The sequence below is a fragment of the Homo sapiens genome, chromosome 10 (genome assembly GCF_000001405.40).
Source record: "Homo sapiens chromosome 10, GRCh38.p14 Primary Assembly".
Taxonomy (NCBI): Eukaryota; Metazoa; Chordata; class Mammalia; order Primates; family Hominidae; genus Homo; species Homo sapiens.
This window is the reverse complement of record NC_000010.11, coordinates 120,621,589-120,638,215: the sequence shown is the minus strand read 5'-3', so window position 1 is coordinate 120,638,215 and position 16,627 is coordinate 120,621,589. Positions and strand designations below refer to the sequence as shown.

The 16,627-nt window shown below is 42.0% G+C and overlaps 1 long non-coding RNA gene across 2 annotated transcripts in view; it reads right to left on the bottom strand.

Moving 5' to 3' along the window:
• Positions 1–16,627, bottom strand: part of LINC02930 (long intergenic non-protein coding RNA 2930) — a 216,730-nt gene that overhangs the window by 187,096 nt on the left and 13,007 nt on the right. Inside the window, exons 1-2 of one of the 2 annotated variants that reach the window (XR_007062314.1) lie at positions 2,368–3,269; positions 2,067–2,274 (exon numbers count right to left, since the gene is read on the bottom strand). This is a non-coding gene — a long non-coding RNA (long intergenic non-protein coding RNA 2930). Of the gene's footprint in view, positions 1–2,066; positions 2,275–2,367; positions 3,270–16,627 lie in introns of those variants that run through there. The other variant, XR_002957103.2, reaches the window with a different exon arrangement.

Sequence of the window (16,627 nt, the reverse complement as noted above, 5' to 3'; positions counted from 1 at the left end):
TTATTTGTAGAATGTCTGATGAACGGATATTTAGGTCTCTCCTCATTTTCTGCTTTGTTGTGAGGATTGCGGGGAGGCAGGTTCCTAATCACCAGCATTGTGAGGTCAACTTGGGGAAGAGGGCTGGACGCTTGGCATTCAGCATTCAGTGCTTATTTTTTCTATTTTGGGTATGGCACTCCTGTGCCAAACCATTCGTGAAATCCTGTTTTATCCTCTCCAGAGGGAGGGAAAACTAGTCTTCCAGAAGGGAGAGGAGAAACCTGGGAACCAATCACTTCTGATGCCACTTTTTCCTCGTTCTTATTTTAGTTCCTTCCCTTAACGTCCACTTACAGATATACCATTGCAGTAATTCCAGGTCCTTTAGGGTATTCTGGAAAGCAAGTTGGCTTCAGCCTTTCCATTGCAGGTTTAGGATCCAGATTAGTGTTTTTACCCTTGTCTGTCTGCTTCCCAGCTTCCAAATTGTTATTGCTATTTTCATCTCTCTCATCCTCCCTGTCCTTGAGGGTTTATATTTTCAAAATATCCCTTTTCTGTCATTTTAGTGTTGTTTCAAGAGGGAATAGTCATAGATGCATGTTAAAAACTCACCAAATTTACCCAGAAGCTTAATCTGAATTACAGTATAAGAGGAATGAGTCTCATTCATTTTTATTCCCAATTCCTCTGTCAGGGGCTCAATAATGTTCCTAAAATAATAATACAATGCTTGTTTATAGAGGAAATGAAGAAACAAATGAATAAATGAGGCATGGCTCAGCTGCTTCCTTGTGTCGTGGATCCTAGGGCTCCTTAGAGGCCCCTCAATGAGGCTGATGAGAGCTCCAGAGTGCAAGGACCATCTCTTCCCCTTGTTCTTCACACCTCCTCTGGACAATGACTTGTTATGTGTTGGTTGTGTGAACATGAGTGTCTTCACCTTGGTGTTGTCATTATTTATTGAAAGATCTGTCAAATGGCACAAATGTCTTTGAAACATTCACTTAAAAAAGAAACAAAATGAATTATTCCCTAACATGAGGAGACCAAGCATTTTCTGGTGTAAACATCCCTCTCTTGCCCTGAGTCAGGGCAAGTACCAGCTAAGGTCATGGGGTCAGTCAACAAGTGGTTCTCAGGGATGCCAAAGTTGCTACCCATCCCCAGACCCCTCTTCCTTGATTTGCCACAGTGCCTCGATGTGCCTCATGAAAACCACTTCTCTCCATTGTTGCATGCCTAGAAGTTACCTGTGAGCAATCAATGATTCCATCTTCTCTGGGATGACCCATTAAGAAACTGGCCTCCACCAACATAGCAACACAACCACTATTGTACCAATTATCTCAATACCTATGGACATGTGTGTCTCAGGCTAGCTCAGTGTTCTCAAAATCTGGTTCCTAGATCAGCAGCATCAGCATCACCTGGGGAGTTGTTAGAAATGCAAATGATCAGACCTGACTCCCTGTCAATTGAATCAAAAACTGTGGAGTCCAAGAGTTTGTGTTTGAACAAATCCTCCAGGTAATTCAGATGTACACTTAGTGAGAATCACTGGTCTGCAGCATTAGTCTCTGCAAGGCAAGGACCACATTTTATTTCTTTGTGTCCTTCAATATGTCTAGCACTACAGGTGTTCATATGTTTGCACAATGAAATTGTATGAGTAAGATTAACATATTAAGTATTAATCAAATGGAACCCTGAAAGGGTGAGTCATAAAACCCAGGTGACTATTGATGTAAGCAAAGCAGGGAAGTAAGAATTGAGACACATTCTTCAGAAAGAGGGTATTGACAGGTATGGATTGGGGGGCAGGAAATGACAAGGGGAGTGGAGGATGACAATGGCAAGAACAAAGTTAGCCTGTTAACAGTTTCACCTGAGATGTCCCAGAACATCTGTATGATTTTGGTTTGACCTTGTTAATAAAGTATGACACAGACGGAGAGAAGAGAAAAAAAAAAGAAACTATGCACCATGCATTTCCTATTTTCTCCTTGCTATTTCAGGAAGGAAGGAAATAGACTCATTTGTGCTATAACAAGTACATAAAGATGAAGCAGCCGTGCACTCACCTGGGCTCCCTGACAACTGCTGTCTGTGGAGTTGAGTCCATTTCTTGCCAGGTTGCAGGTTGATCATGGTGGCCTCTGGGCTCAGCTTTTTATACAGTCTACACCCAGTGGCTGATGAGTGCTCTGATCCATCACCATCTGTCTTTAATGTCCTTCAGCTGTCTGTGGACATTTATTATTGATGGCCCTGGGCAGGCAGTAGGTTGAGCTACAGAGAAACAAGTAGAGGATATGGCAAAGGACCTACAAAGGGGTTCAGGCTTGTAAAGGGTGTGATCAAATATCAGAGCTGATTATTCACCTGCTGTAGTCATCAGAGAAGTGTTTGCAACTCAGTTCCTTCATGGTTTATTTCAATTCTCATTTAGACATCACATCTGAAAGCTGGGAACAAACAACCCATTGCTCCTTTACTGTACCCATTAAGTATACAAAGAAAGAGGAATCAGCATTTCAAAGCTAATAATAATTGTAATTTTAATCCTAGCTGAAATTCAGGTGAACAGCTACTAAGCACCAACCACAGCTGTTTTACATCCCTTTCCTCACTTCACCTTCACAAAATGACAAGATTGTCTTCAGTTGAAGACCCTTGCCACAGTCACAGGGGTAGAAAGTGGAAAAAAACATATTGGATTTATTGATGGAATCCCAACAGTCATTTCCCGAGCATGTGCTATTTGGGGAAAATCATAGGGTGGTAGTTAAAGAGCCTGAGCTCTGAAGCTCTGGGCTCTGAAGGGTTCAAATTCTAGCTCTACCTCTTAGCCACTCTATGCCTTGGTTTTCTTGCGAGTGAAGTACATATCTCATATGGAAATTGCTAGGATTAAGTGAGTTATATCAAAAGCACATGGAAAGCACTCAGTAAATAGCAGCTATTGTTATGTGCACTGAGATCTTGAATTCACTATCTTCTTAATCTCCACAATAACTTTATGATGCAGGTAATTTATTATCCCCATTTTTCTGATAAAGAAGCTGAGGTCTAACTAGGGAGCAAGGCTAAATGTCAAGACCACGTAGCTGGGAGGAGCCAGAGCCAAGCCCCAGCTCCTAATGAAGCTTTTTCCATCTCACATCACCAGCCTCCCTCATAAAGAACCTCATGCACAATCAAATGCAAACAAAGATACTTTCAGAAAGTTCATTGTTGTGTTAATTCAGGTCCTCCGAGGAGCAGGTATCAACATAGGATGGATGTGGAAGAGATTTATTGCGGGGGAAATGGGAGGCGGAGGCGGGAAGCCGGAGGAGTCTAGCAGAGCTGAGGGATCAGATGCAGGTCTGGTTTGAGTGGAGGATGCAGGGAAGGACCGAGGCAGGCTGGGGAGAGCCTTAGAGGGCAGAGTCCTTCTAAGACATTGGCAAAGCCCAGGGGGCGCCCTCGAGCCCAAGTCTGTTTTCGGAGGATTCTTGTTTCTCCCGAATGAACTTTCCTTAGAATTCCTACCAAGCCCAGTCATTGGCAGTGAGCAGCGTGTGGAGCGTGATGCTAATGGAGGGATGGGCCTCAGCTGAGACCGGCACCAGCTATGCTCCTAGAAATTGGGGATCTGAGAGGAGCACTGTCAAGGCCGTCATAATTACCAACTAGAATACCTGGCAAAATATTCTGTGGGAAGACATTCAATTCTAAGGAATATTTTGGTGTCATGCTTTATAAATCAAGAGGTCAGTTCTTTAGTAAAAGAAAAGGCTACTTTTTATATTTTCGTGTGTACGTGTGTGTGACGGAGTTTCAAAAAAACTCCTCTGTCTCCCAGGCTGGAGTGCAATGGTGTGATCTTGGCTCACTGCAACCTTTGTCTCCCGGGTTCAAGCAATTCTCCTGCCTCAGCCTCCAGAGTAGCTGGGATTACAGGCGCACGCCACCACGTCTGGCTAATTTTTTGTATTTTTAGTAGAGACAGGGTTTCACCATGTTGATCAGGCTGGTCTTGAACTCCTGACCTCAGGTGATCCGCCCGCCTCGGCCTCCCAGAGTGCTGGGATTACAGGCGTGAGCCACCGTGCCTGGCAGAGAAAAGGCTACTTTTTACACAACAAAGACATCTTCCTCCAGGTTGGCCTCCTAAGAAATGCAGGCCAAGGCAGGTGCCTCTGAGTTGCTGGCATCTGGCTGGCCTCCGGCCCTGTCCTGCAGTTGCTCATTTCTGCCTGTACTAGTCTCGCCTCCTTCTCTGACTTCAATAACCCCTTTTCTCCTCCTTCTTTGAAATTCTTTGGTGCTTTCTGACTATTCCAAGGTTGTTTTAAGCTTCTAAGAAAAATGTCCTGATTCCCAAGGTGACCTAAAGATCTACAGGAGTTTTCTGGATTCCTTGAGGGTGTTCCCTGGGAAAGTTAAATATCAGGTGTTTTGTGATGTTACCGAATATTTTATTTTCAAATGTGTGGGAGTGCATCATTTCTAAATCCATTCCTTCCCTTCAAATCACACCTTCCTCCTCACCCTCAGGCAGTGCAACTGTTCCGAAGTACAGTCCAGGAATGAAAAGTGGAGTCAAATGAATACTGTGGGTGGGGAGATGATTCCATTTGTTCTACCCTAAGGTGGCTAAAGAAGAACATACAACAGAAGTATAAATTGTATTACAAAGCCAGAGTATCTAATCTGACCCATGCTTATTACCTTAATTTTTACTTAGAAATTATTATTTTGGGTGGACTTTAACCTGGATCATGGCTGCAAAAAGGTATAAATTGCGCTTTGTTATCATTCATCACTCATGTCATTGAAACTTTTCTTCTTGATTTGGTTCAGTTCTTTATGTTCTTTTAATGCAAGTTTTCATGACTTCATGGGAGAAACAAGTTCCTGTGCTCGGTCAGTTATTGGATACAAACACTGAATTTCTTCTTGCTGACCTCTAAACACTGCAACAGGTCTCCTCATCGACACTGTAGGTCACTTAGCATAATGACTGGCATATGGTAAGTGTTTTAATAATCCTTTGTTGGAATGAAACAATATTCCTCTTCCAGGGACGGAGGCCCATGGTTTTCAGTGAGTCACCAAGCCTTGTCCTCATGGAGGTCAACCCTTTCCTGGACAAAGAGAGGCCAATAAGCCAGCAGTTTCAGTTAAGATAGTTAAGTACAACCAGAGAAGTACCCTCTGGGTGCTAACTCAAATGAGTCCCCTATGAATGGATGCTGGGAGGTGGGAGACTTCACAGAGGCTTCCAGGAGTAAGCCACCCTGTGCTAAACACAAACACAAACAGGCAGGAGAAGGGATTGTCCCTGTGTGTTTGGCCTGCCTCTGTTAAGCTTGTGAAGATACCAAGCTAATCCTCTGCTTCGTTCTTTCCTGTTCTCCCCTTTCCAAAGAGCTCTTCTGCCCATCCACTGAGCCAGTCCCAGCCATCCTGCAAAGCCCAATTCTTGTCCACTTTGTTATTTATAATAGTAATAAAATAGCAAGTTTCTATGTGTTAGCCACTATACTCAGTGTCCTCCATGCACAATTGTCATTTCAGCCTAAGAGCAGGTTTCTTATTTTCCCCTTTTTGCGGATGATAAAACGGAGGCTCGGATTGATCCAGTAACTTTCCCAAGGTCATGCAGCTGGTCAGTTATGGAACCTGGCCTTGAACCAAAGGGTGTCTCACAGGTGCCCCTCAGCCCATCCATCCCATCCTCTGTCCAGGAAGAACTTCTCCCACACTCCTGCTCTCACCAATTCTTATTCTTTCTGAACAGTTATGGTTCTCACAGTCTGTGTGCAACAATACGAATTTTACATTTGCTTGTGGTTTTTGCTGCTGCTTAAAATTTCATATCCCTAGTGGAGCAGCAAACTCTCACACACTGCTAGTGGGATGTAAATTGTTATGACCACTTTTATAAACACTTTGGCAGCATCCATATACCTTATGACTCAGCAATTCAACCCATAGGTATTAATCTAAGGGGAAAAAAAAATTTGCCTACACAATGCCTGGTAAAAGGCTATTCATAGTTTATTCATGATAACCCTAAGCTGGAAACAACCCAAATGCCTGTCAACAAGAAAATACAGTACTATACCAATAATGAGCACAAATAAACTATAACCACACACAGCAATATGAATGAACCCCACAAACATGCTGAGGAAAAAAAGCCAGACAGAAAATAGTACCAATGTATGATTCCATTTTCATATGAGCAAAACGGCAAAAGTAATCTATGCTAATTAATATAGGGATAATGGCTAGCTTTGGAAGAAGATAGAGACTTCAAGGGAATATGAGGGAGAATTCAAAGAAGCTGGTGTTATATTCCTTGATTTTGGAACTTGTTGCAAAAGTGTTTTCAGTTTGAAAGTTATGTAAGCTGCACACTTAGGATATGTGTATGTAAAGTATAGGTTACAGATACATATCCTATGTGTATGTATGTAAATTATAGGTTAATAAAAAGTTAAAGCAAAATCAAAGGAAATTTTATACCCTTTTCTGGACAACTGGCTTAATGACTGGGACCACAGGTTACACTTTTCTATCTCTCTTTTTCTTTTTTGAATGTATAAGTTGGAGGTGTCCCAAACCTATCAATGATCACCTCTGTCTATATTTGAAATCATTTGTTTTTCACAAAAATGAATGAATATTTCTACAATTTTGTAGAAATAATTGCTTATTTTTAAGTTGGGTGTGCGTATGTTGACAAAAATAGTCAAAGCCTGTAAAATATTTTAAGATATTTATTCTAAGCCAAATATGAGTGACCAATGGCCTGTGACACAGTCCCAGGATATCCTGAAAACATATGCCCAAGGTGATTAAGCTACAGCTCAGTTTTATATATTTTAGGGAGACAAAAGACATCAATCAATACCCAGAAGATGTACATTGGTTTGTTCCAGAAAGGCAGAACAACTGGAAGTGGGGGCTTCCGGGTCATAGGTGGAGTCACAGATTTTCTGATTGGCAGTTGTTTGAAAGAATTATTATATAAAGACCTATAATCAATATAAAGGAGTGTCTGGGTTAAGATAAGGGGTTTTGGGCCAGGTATGGTGGCTCATGCCTGTAATCCCAGCACGTTGGATGGCTGAAGCAGGTGGATCGCTCGAGCTCAGTAGTTCAAGACCAGCCTAGACAACATAGCAAAACCCACCTTTACAAAAAATTCAAAAATTAGCTGGGCATGGTGGTGTGCACCTGTAGTTCCAGCTACTTAGGAGGCTGAGTAGGGAGGATGGCTTGAGCCCAGGAGGTGGAGGTTGCAGTGAGCAGAGATTGTGCCACTGCATTCCAGCCTGGAGAGTAGAACCAGAGTTTGTCAAAAAAAAAAAAAAAAAAAAAATTAGGGGTTTCAGAGACTAAGGTTTTATCATATAGATGGAGCCTTCAGGTAGTAGGCTTCAGAGCTCTTTTCAGACCTAAAAAGGGGCCAGAGTCTTAGTTAATTCCCTCTTGGATCAGGGAAATGACCTGGAAAGAAATGGGGATTCTCTACAGAATGTAGATTTTCCCCCACAAGAGTCATCTTTGCAAGGCCATTTCAAAATATGTCAAAGAATATAATTTGGGGTAAAATAGTTTGATTTATTTTCAGGGCCTGCTATCTGTGATGTAATGCTATACTAGAGTCAGGCTGGAATTTGGTATCTTATTGCTACAAAAAAAGTCGTTTTGCTAGTCTTAAGATCTCTATTTTAATGTTAATACTGGTCAACTGTGCCTGAATTCCAAAGGGAGGAAGGTATAATGAAGAATGTTCAACCCCCACTTCTCATCATGGCCTGAATTAGCTTTTCAGGTTAACTTTAGAATGCCCTGGGCCAAGGAGAGGGTCCATCAGTTGGTTGAAGGGCTTAGAATTTTATTTTTGGTTTACACATATATTAAAAGTTGGTTCTTTCTTCCTATAAAATTATGGAGCCAATTCAATTCCATTTGTGATTCTATCGGATTCTGACTGTCCTGAGTGTTATGCCTCAGAGATCTCCACTCTCATTAGTGTCCATTCAGGTTATGAAAGTTCCCTCCCATTGCTACAATAGAATCTTAGTTCTAATTACAAGGCTTATTTAGAACTATAATTACTTTTAATATCTCAAATCCTTTGGAGATACAAAATTATTTGTTGTCAGCTGAACTCTAAGACTCTAATATATATATAATTATCCTTATGTCATAAGACTATTTCAGTGAAGCTCCAATTCCCTTAAAGAATCTATATGCAGATGTCCCCATGGATTAAAAAAACTTATTGACTCTCTTCATTTTTGATATCATGTGTTTTTTTCTAGCACTTCCATTTAACTCTATCATTTTTCATCCCTCTGCTGAAATTCTCCATCTGTTCATGCATGATATCTACCTTTTCTATTACTCTTTTAACTTATTAATCATAATTCTTATGGTCTCTATCTCAAAGTCTCAACATCTGAGTCATCCCTGAGTCTGTTTCTGTTGATCGCCTTTGTCTCTTTACAATTTTTTCCCTTGCTTTTTTGTATATCTCATAATTTGTGACTGTATAGGACAGCAGAGATGAAGGTAAATATTATTTATTCTATAAATCATCCCAATATCTTGTTCTGTGAGAGCATTAGTGTCAGAGTTTGAGGTTATCTAGTCAGTAGTTGAGGTGGGTATGGGTTTTATTGTTGCCACTGTTACCTTCAATAGACCACAGGCTTCAAATTCCTCTAGAGGTGGGAATCGTGTTATCTTGTGCTTAGTGTGAGGGCCAAGGTGCTAGACTCTTTCCCAGGTTTCCTGCTTGCCCCTCAGCTTTCTGTTGTAGAGGGGAAGAGAATTTTTCCTCCCTCTCTGAAGGGTCAAGAATGTTGAAATGAACTATCAATAGACAGATTAACAGGAGACAAGGCATACAAATTCATTAATATGCAAGTATGCATGGGAGCCATACAAAATATGAGATTCAAGGACAGGCCAGATGGCTGAAGCTTAAATACTGTCATCTTCATAGGGGGAGGAAGATGGGGGAATGTAGGCAATTTTGAGGGGTAGTGAATTATTTTTAGGGAAAACCAACGAGCGCAAAGAATAGACAATGGCCTGGGACAAAGTTCCTCTGAGCTGTGGGGAAGGTGGCAACACGTATTGGGAAATTGAGGGGTGGGACTTCCCTGTGAACAAAGGTTGTCTTATTATGCAGATAACATCTTCCAGGTAATATCTCAGAGCTGCCCTCAGAAGAATAGATGAAAAATCTGCCTGGATGTGGTGATGACTTTTAGTCTTTTCTCTTCTCTAGTAGTTCATCTTTCCTGGTGATTTGATGAGATTTCTAGGGGGGGAGTTTTAAGACAATTGCATTTCTTTTGGAATAATTTTTTCTCATTCAGATGAGGAAACTTCTAGAGAATGTCCCTTACTGTGCTTGGGGTTTCAGGGTGGAGGGAAGAAACAGGAGAAGGTTAGAAGGTCTTTGGTTCTGAGGCAGATTCTAAGACCTTCCAATTCCCTTTAATGAAAAAGTACTCAGCATGCCAAAGAATCGTACTTTAGGGTATCATTCTCTGAGCCCCAACACAGCCAGCCTGGCTTACACATGCCACAGAGAATCCTCTGTCCACGCTTTTAGCTCCCCTATCCCAGTGGCAGATGACTCTGGCCTATTATTCAGTGCTGGGCCTATTTTGGGATACAGGGGCAAGGGAAGAGAGGTGGTTCTCAGTTCTTTTGGTTTAGCCTTAGTCTTAGGCAGGCACCATGTGCCTGGGCCTGGGGGTGAGGCTTTCTCAGCATTCTCATCCCTCCTCCCCATGGCAGCCAAACACTGCTTTGGATCTGAGCTTGGACTTGGGCCAGAGTTTCCTGCCCCTCCCTGGCAGTAAGATATCCTGGGCCCAGCACAGCTTCCTGCCCTTTCACTGGGGGTTGGAGATTTTTCTTTGACCCTCCCTAGCACACCAGTCTTTTGCCTGTGCCTTTGGGGAAAGACAGTCTGCTGCCTCTCCCCCGACAGTTCAAGGCTTCTCTCCTAGGAGGGAAGGGTTGGGGAGAGGATCGTGTTTATTCTCCCTACAACTACAGAGAGCTCCCCAACACCTACCCCACCAAGGGGGGCTTGCTCCAGGCTCCTGCCCTACATCTTTCTCTCAGTAACTGGTGGAGCCATGTGGAGAAGAGCATGTGTCTCTGACTTCCTTTGTGTCTGGGCCCCCAGTTATTCCAAACTGACATTCTAGCCCACATGTGGCTTTGTCAACCTAAAATAATCAAAAGGGTCATAATCTAGTTTAAAGAGAGTTTACACAAGCACAAAGTTTAAGGACAGCCAGCTACAAAGCAGAGATTCCAAAGAATGGAAGTCAGTGTTCCAAAATGTAGAAGTTTGGGATCATTTACATAAACAAAGTTTAGGAAAGCTTAACAGAATTTCAACATCATTCTATGTAAGGCTTAATGCATAGTTATGATCTAATCAGTCAAGGTGATTTTTTTCTTTAAGAAAAGGTATATTTGACATTCCACACCAAAGATCTAACAGTCCTGGAGTCTTTTGCCCCATCTGGTCTGAGTTGGGTAAGGACAAAAAAAGCAGGCAGTGAATCTTTAACAAAGATAGATGATTAGGAGGTGAGGGGTCTGTCCTCTGGTTTCTCCTAGTCATTTACAGAACAAGAACAATGAGGAAGAGAAATAGTCCATAATCTAAGAAGAAGAATAGCAAACATGCTATGTGACTCAGTCTCCAGAGCTTAACATCCCCCCTTGGCATAATAAATTTAGAGAGCCCTGAAATTGTATTTTCTTTTATAGCCTTTAATAGTTTTAACATCTTTTAACTGATTTCTTTTTACACATCTGTATGGCAGCCACCTCTCTCTCCCATGTTCTGTGTAAGGTGAATGTTTTTATGTCTCCTCAGCCCTTAATAGAGCCTGTCCCTCTTAGGAATTTGGTTTGTTTGATTGCCTGGATTTCAGCCCTCTGATGGGCTCAAGAAAACTTAACAATTGCTATAGATTTTTCTGCCTTTTTCTCATTGTTATATGTAGGTTTCCACATCCTAAACGAAAACTGATTCTTAATTTTCTTTCAAGTTAAGACCAACAGCAGCAAAACTAGTGTGCAGTTAACCTGCTTTCCATTTTACAATTGGAATTTCTATTTAATATATATTTCTGTTTATGTAAATATGTAATTTCAATAATAAAATACCACATACTGCCTCTTTAGTATCTTCTGAAGGTCAATAACTTTTGCATCACTGTTTAAAGCTAAAGACATAATAAAGATTTTAAATAACATTTTACCTAGTACTTTTGTGTAGAATAAACATTCAAATTGTAGACTCAGTTGTAGATTAATTTATAGTTAAGTTCACTGCATGAAAATTTAAATTTTTCTTTGTAATTCGAACCTGCAATTTAGCAAGGGGTTTCTATAAGCTTGGAAAGGTACAACAAAGTACTGAAGGAACCACCCTTAGGGGCTATAAGCTTCAGGCTTTTTCTTTATTTCTCAAATGAGAATTCAGTATTCTTGCCAAAGGTGGAGCTACTGCAGTAAGCAGACATGTAGTTCAAACAGGCATAAAAAGAGACAGATTCAAAACCATTATTCAGAAATATCTGTTAAAGTTGCTCCGAATTTAAACTTTTCCTCCTACTTCCCGCTTAAGTTTTTATTTTTGTTTGTGCAATGTCTAATTATTATCATGGCTAGTACTTTCATCCAGGGTTTTTAAACCTCGGCACTGTTGATATTTAGGGTTGGAAAATTATTTATTTTTAGGTGGGGCTGTGCTGTGCATTACAGAATGTTTAGCAGCGGCTCTAACCACTAGGTGCCATTAGCACCCCTGCCACCCCATCCCTTCATTTTCTCAACCAAAAATGTCTTCAGAGTTTGCCAAATGTCCCCTGGAGAAAGGGGCCAAAATCACCCCTGCTTGAGAACCACTGTTCTGAATATAGACTATGACTATTGTCTACTTGTTTTTAGCAATTGTATATCCTCCTGATACTTGGAAAACAAGGCTGATGTATATGTGACATGGTTTGGCTGTGTCCCCATCCAAAGCCCATCTTGAATTGTAGTTCCTATAATCCCCACGTGTTGTGGGAGGGACCCGTTGGGAGGTAATTTAATCATCGGGGTGGTTACTTTCATGCTGTTCTCATGATAGTGAGTGAGTTCTCATGAGATCTGATGGTTTTATAAGGGGCATATCCCCCTTTGCTCTGCGCTTATCCTTGCTGCCACCATGTGAAGAAGGACGTATTTGCTTCCCCTTCTGCCATGATTGTAAGTTTCCTGAGGCCTCCCCAGGCATGCTGAACTGTGAATAAATTAAACCTCTTTCCTTTATAAGTCATCCAGTCTCGGGTATGTCTTTATTAGCAGCTTGAGAACAGACTCATACAGTATGGTTGTGCAGGTTATTCACTACACAAGGGTACCTGGCCAAAAGCGTAAGGAGAGGCTGAATCTAGCCATTGCTCTGCTCACCAAGCCATGGTCCTGGAATAGTCTCTGTCTTGGAGGAAGATGCTTTTAATTAAAACTTGCATAAATGTGCTTTGTGGACTAGCACTTATTAACAAAGTGTAAAATGTGATAAAATGTCTAGAATATCTGAAATTCATCTAGCCTCATTCCTTCTGTTTTACAGATTAGAAAATGGAGGTCCAAGGAACTCTGGAAATGTAACTATGAGGGGTTCAACATCTAATGTAGACAGAAAACTTGGGATGGAAAGGGAGAATTTATTACACTTCAAGGAGAGCTTGACCACTAAACAGGGAACACATTCTAAGTCACATTTGGGAGAGGGGCTCTTCTGTGAGTTGGGGAAGGAAGTCCAGCCCAGTGTATAGACAGGTACAAAACAGAGATGAGATAAACCCCTCGTATGGAAGAGAAACTGAGCATGAGGAACAGAATGCCCTCAGCCACATAGGGGTTGTCCCTGAAGAACCTGCTGATGCCCACAACTAGGCTGGGATAGCCACAGGCAGTGTCTAATTCACCTTTATAGTCTCTGAGCTTGTGCTCAAAGCAGAAGCAAAGAAAAATCCAATCCTGGGCAAAACATTGTTGACTGTGGAAACCAGAGACAGGCAGAAACAGGAAGTCCTCCTTATGGAAAGGGTAGGCTGTTCAGTGGAGAGAGCATTCCAAATAGCTACTGCTTCAGTCCCTGCGACCGTCAGAGAATTTGCCTCTTTATAAGAAAGCATGGCTAATACGACACCTGCCCTCTTCCCGATGAGCCACACAGCAAAGGAGATAAGCACAAGTTGTATTTTGCCACTCTCTGCCCTGGTGTGTCCGGCTGTACCCACTGACCCCTGGACTCACCAGCAGGAACACATCCCTTCCCAGGACAAGCAGGGCTGTGGGGCTGTGAGCCCAGTGACATCCTGGCACCTCAGCACACAGACATCTATCACAAATGCACACTGTTCTCCTTGCTCCTGCAGGTTGACTTTGCCTTGGCCAAGGGCTCAGCCCTCTCACAGCTCCCAGCAAGAATCTTGTTCAAGCAGGATGGGTTTAACAGAAGCTGTATCAAATGGCACGCAAGCTCAGAAACCGCCATCAACATGTTGTTCCTCCCCACAGCTCTATGCTGGAACCCCGTGGTAATTCTCCTTCTTGCCTCCTGCCCAGGGAACCTCAAGTTTCATTGGTTCCTGTTTCTCTTGTTCCTCGAGGGTGATATTAAAATATTTAGGAAGCAACTACAGAGCACCAACTAGTCTAACAGGTGCCCTCCAGAACACATGATCAGGGTCCCCAAGGACCCCTACTGGGTCAGAGGTCCAGCCACTAGTGGCTGAATGATATGCAGGCGGTGAGTTCTGGGGACTGTTTACTGGCATCCCACTGGTACAGGAGTATTCAGTGTTCTAACCCTGGTAGGGTCTTACCAATGGATTGTCAGTCCCAAATCTTTCTCTCCTTCTTGGGAGTACAGTTTGGCTCCTGCAAACTCAGACTCCTGTAGCCTTCAGGAGTAGAGCTGCCCTCCTCAGGAGGTGACGAAGGGTCTAGAGATAACCCTATAACAATATCCACTTGCAATTTTCCTTCCCACAGAACACAGCCATGACACCTTTAAGGGAACAGCTTCACTATGCAGCCCAGGCCGCTGAGTCCCTCTCTGTTCTGCCACCGAACTTAGACGTTTCTGTAGGGCCTGACTTCATAGCAATCTATAAGGCACTGACTCCAGCTATAGTTAAACTGGAAGAATCAATCCAGCAGCAGCACGCAGCTGGGGAGGGATATATTTCCTACAACATCCCCAGTGGGCCACAACCCTCCTCTGGCTGCCATGGCATGTGGCAGAGAGCATTCTGTCAACAGCACAGACAGCCAGGGTACACTCTGGCTGTGACTTCCATGCAGGGATTTGGAAATTAGTCATTGGAGCTGCAGTAACAGTGGCATGGAAAAATACAGATACACCTTGGAATGATTGCAGATCCAGTTCCAGACAGCTGCAATACAGCAAATATTGCAATAAAGAAAGTCACACATTTTTTTTGGTTTCCTAGTGCATATTAAAGTTACGTTTACACTATAGTCTATTAAGTGTGCAATAGTATTGTATCTGAAGAAAACAATCTGCATGCCTTAATTTAAAAATATTTTATTGTTAAAAGATGCTAACAATCATCTGAGCCTTCAGTGAGTCATAATCTTTTTGCAGGTGGATGATCTTGCCTTAATGTTGATGGCTGCTGACTGATGAGGGTTCTGGTTGCTGAAGGTTTGGGTGGCCCTGTCAATTTCTTAAAATAATACAACAGTGAAGTTTGCTATATCAATTGATTCCTCTTTTCATGAAAGATTTCTCTGCAGATGCAATGCTGTTTGATAGCATTTTACCTATAGTATTAGAAATTCTATTAGAAATTGGAGTCAGTCCTCTCAAACCGTGCCACTGCTTTATTAACTAAGTAGATGTATTACTCTAAATCCTTTGTTGTTATTTCAACAGTCCATAGCCTCTTCACTAGGAGTAGACTGCATTTCAATAAACCATGTTCTTTGCTCCTCCATAAGAAGCAACTCCATACCCCATTAAAGTTTTCTCGTGAGATTGCAACAATTCAGTCACATCTTCAGGCCCCACTTCTAATTCCGGTTCTCTTGCTATTTCTACCATATCTGCAGTGACTTCCTCCACTGAAGGCTTGGGCCCCTCAAAGTCATCCATGAGTGTTGGAATCAACTTTTCCCAAACTCCTGTTCATGTTGATATTTTTACCTCCTTGCATGAATCATGAATCTTCTTAATGGCACCTACAATGGTGAATCATTTCCAGAGGCTTTCAATTTACTTTGCCTGGATCTAACAGAATAATCACTATCCACTGAAAGCTACAGCCTTACAAAATGTCTTTCTTAAATAATAGGACTTGAAAATAAAAATAACTCCTTGATCCACAGGCTATAGAATGGATGCTGTGTTAACAGGCATGAAAACATTAATCTCCTTGTACATCTCCATCAGAGTTGATTTCTCATGCTGATTTTTCTTTACATGGTGTAGTGAGATAAACGCTCCTTTCTTCAAAGGACATGTCTATCTGGATCCAATGACTGTGGCCTTATTTGGGGGAAGGGTCTTTCAAGAGTGATTAAGTTAAGGATTTGGAGATAAGATTATCTCAGATTAGGATGAGTCCTAAATCCAATGACAAGTATACTAGTCCAGTTTCATGCTGCTGATAAACACATACCTGAGACTGGGTAATTTACAAAGAAAAAGAGGTTTAATGGACTCACAGTTCCATGTGGCTGGGGAGGCCTCAGAATCATGGCAGAAGCTGAAAGGTACATCTTACATGGTGGCAGGCAGGAGAGAAGGAGAGCCAAGTGAAAGGGGAAATCCCTTATGAAACCATCAGATCTCGTGAGACTTATTCACCACCACGAGAACAGTATGGGGAAACCATACTCAATACAGAAGAGAATTGGAGAAAAAAAAAAAAACAGAGGAGAGGATGATGTGAAGACAGAGCTAGAAGTTTGAGTGATGAGTGGACAAGGCAAGGAATACCAAGGATTGCCAGCAGCCACCAGAAGCTAGGAGAGGGGCATGGAACAGATTTTCCCTTAGAACCAGTCCTACTGACACTTTGACTTTGGACTTCTGGCCTCCAAGACTTTGAGACAATAAGTTCCTATTATTTTAAGTTGCCCAGTTTGTGGAAATTTGTTATGGCAGCCAAAGAAAATAAATACGCAGGCTAACTGGTGACATGGTTTGGGGAGTGGCATTGAATGCTGGCTTTGACATCAGAGTAACCTGGATTTGGATTTGAATTGTACCTCTGCCATCTTCTATTTGTACACCTTAGACAGGTGAGTTTTCAATGTTCTGTTCTGTACAATGGGGATAGTAATAATATTTATTTTGTGAGGTTATGAAAACAAAATGAGAGATGCTTGCAGAGCACGTGGCACATAGTGGGTATTAATGAAGTTCAGGTTATTAGCAGGAGCTGCTATCAGAAGTTGGTTGAACACTGAGGTTAATGACTAGTTACAGGGGAGATAAGAAGTGACATAAGCTCCTTTAGAAGGAGGCATTCCAGAGGGACACAGTGGCTCCTCTTCTGAGAAATAG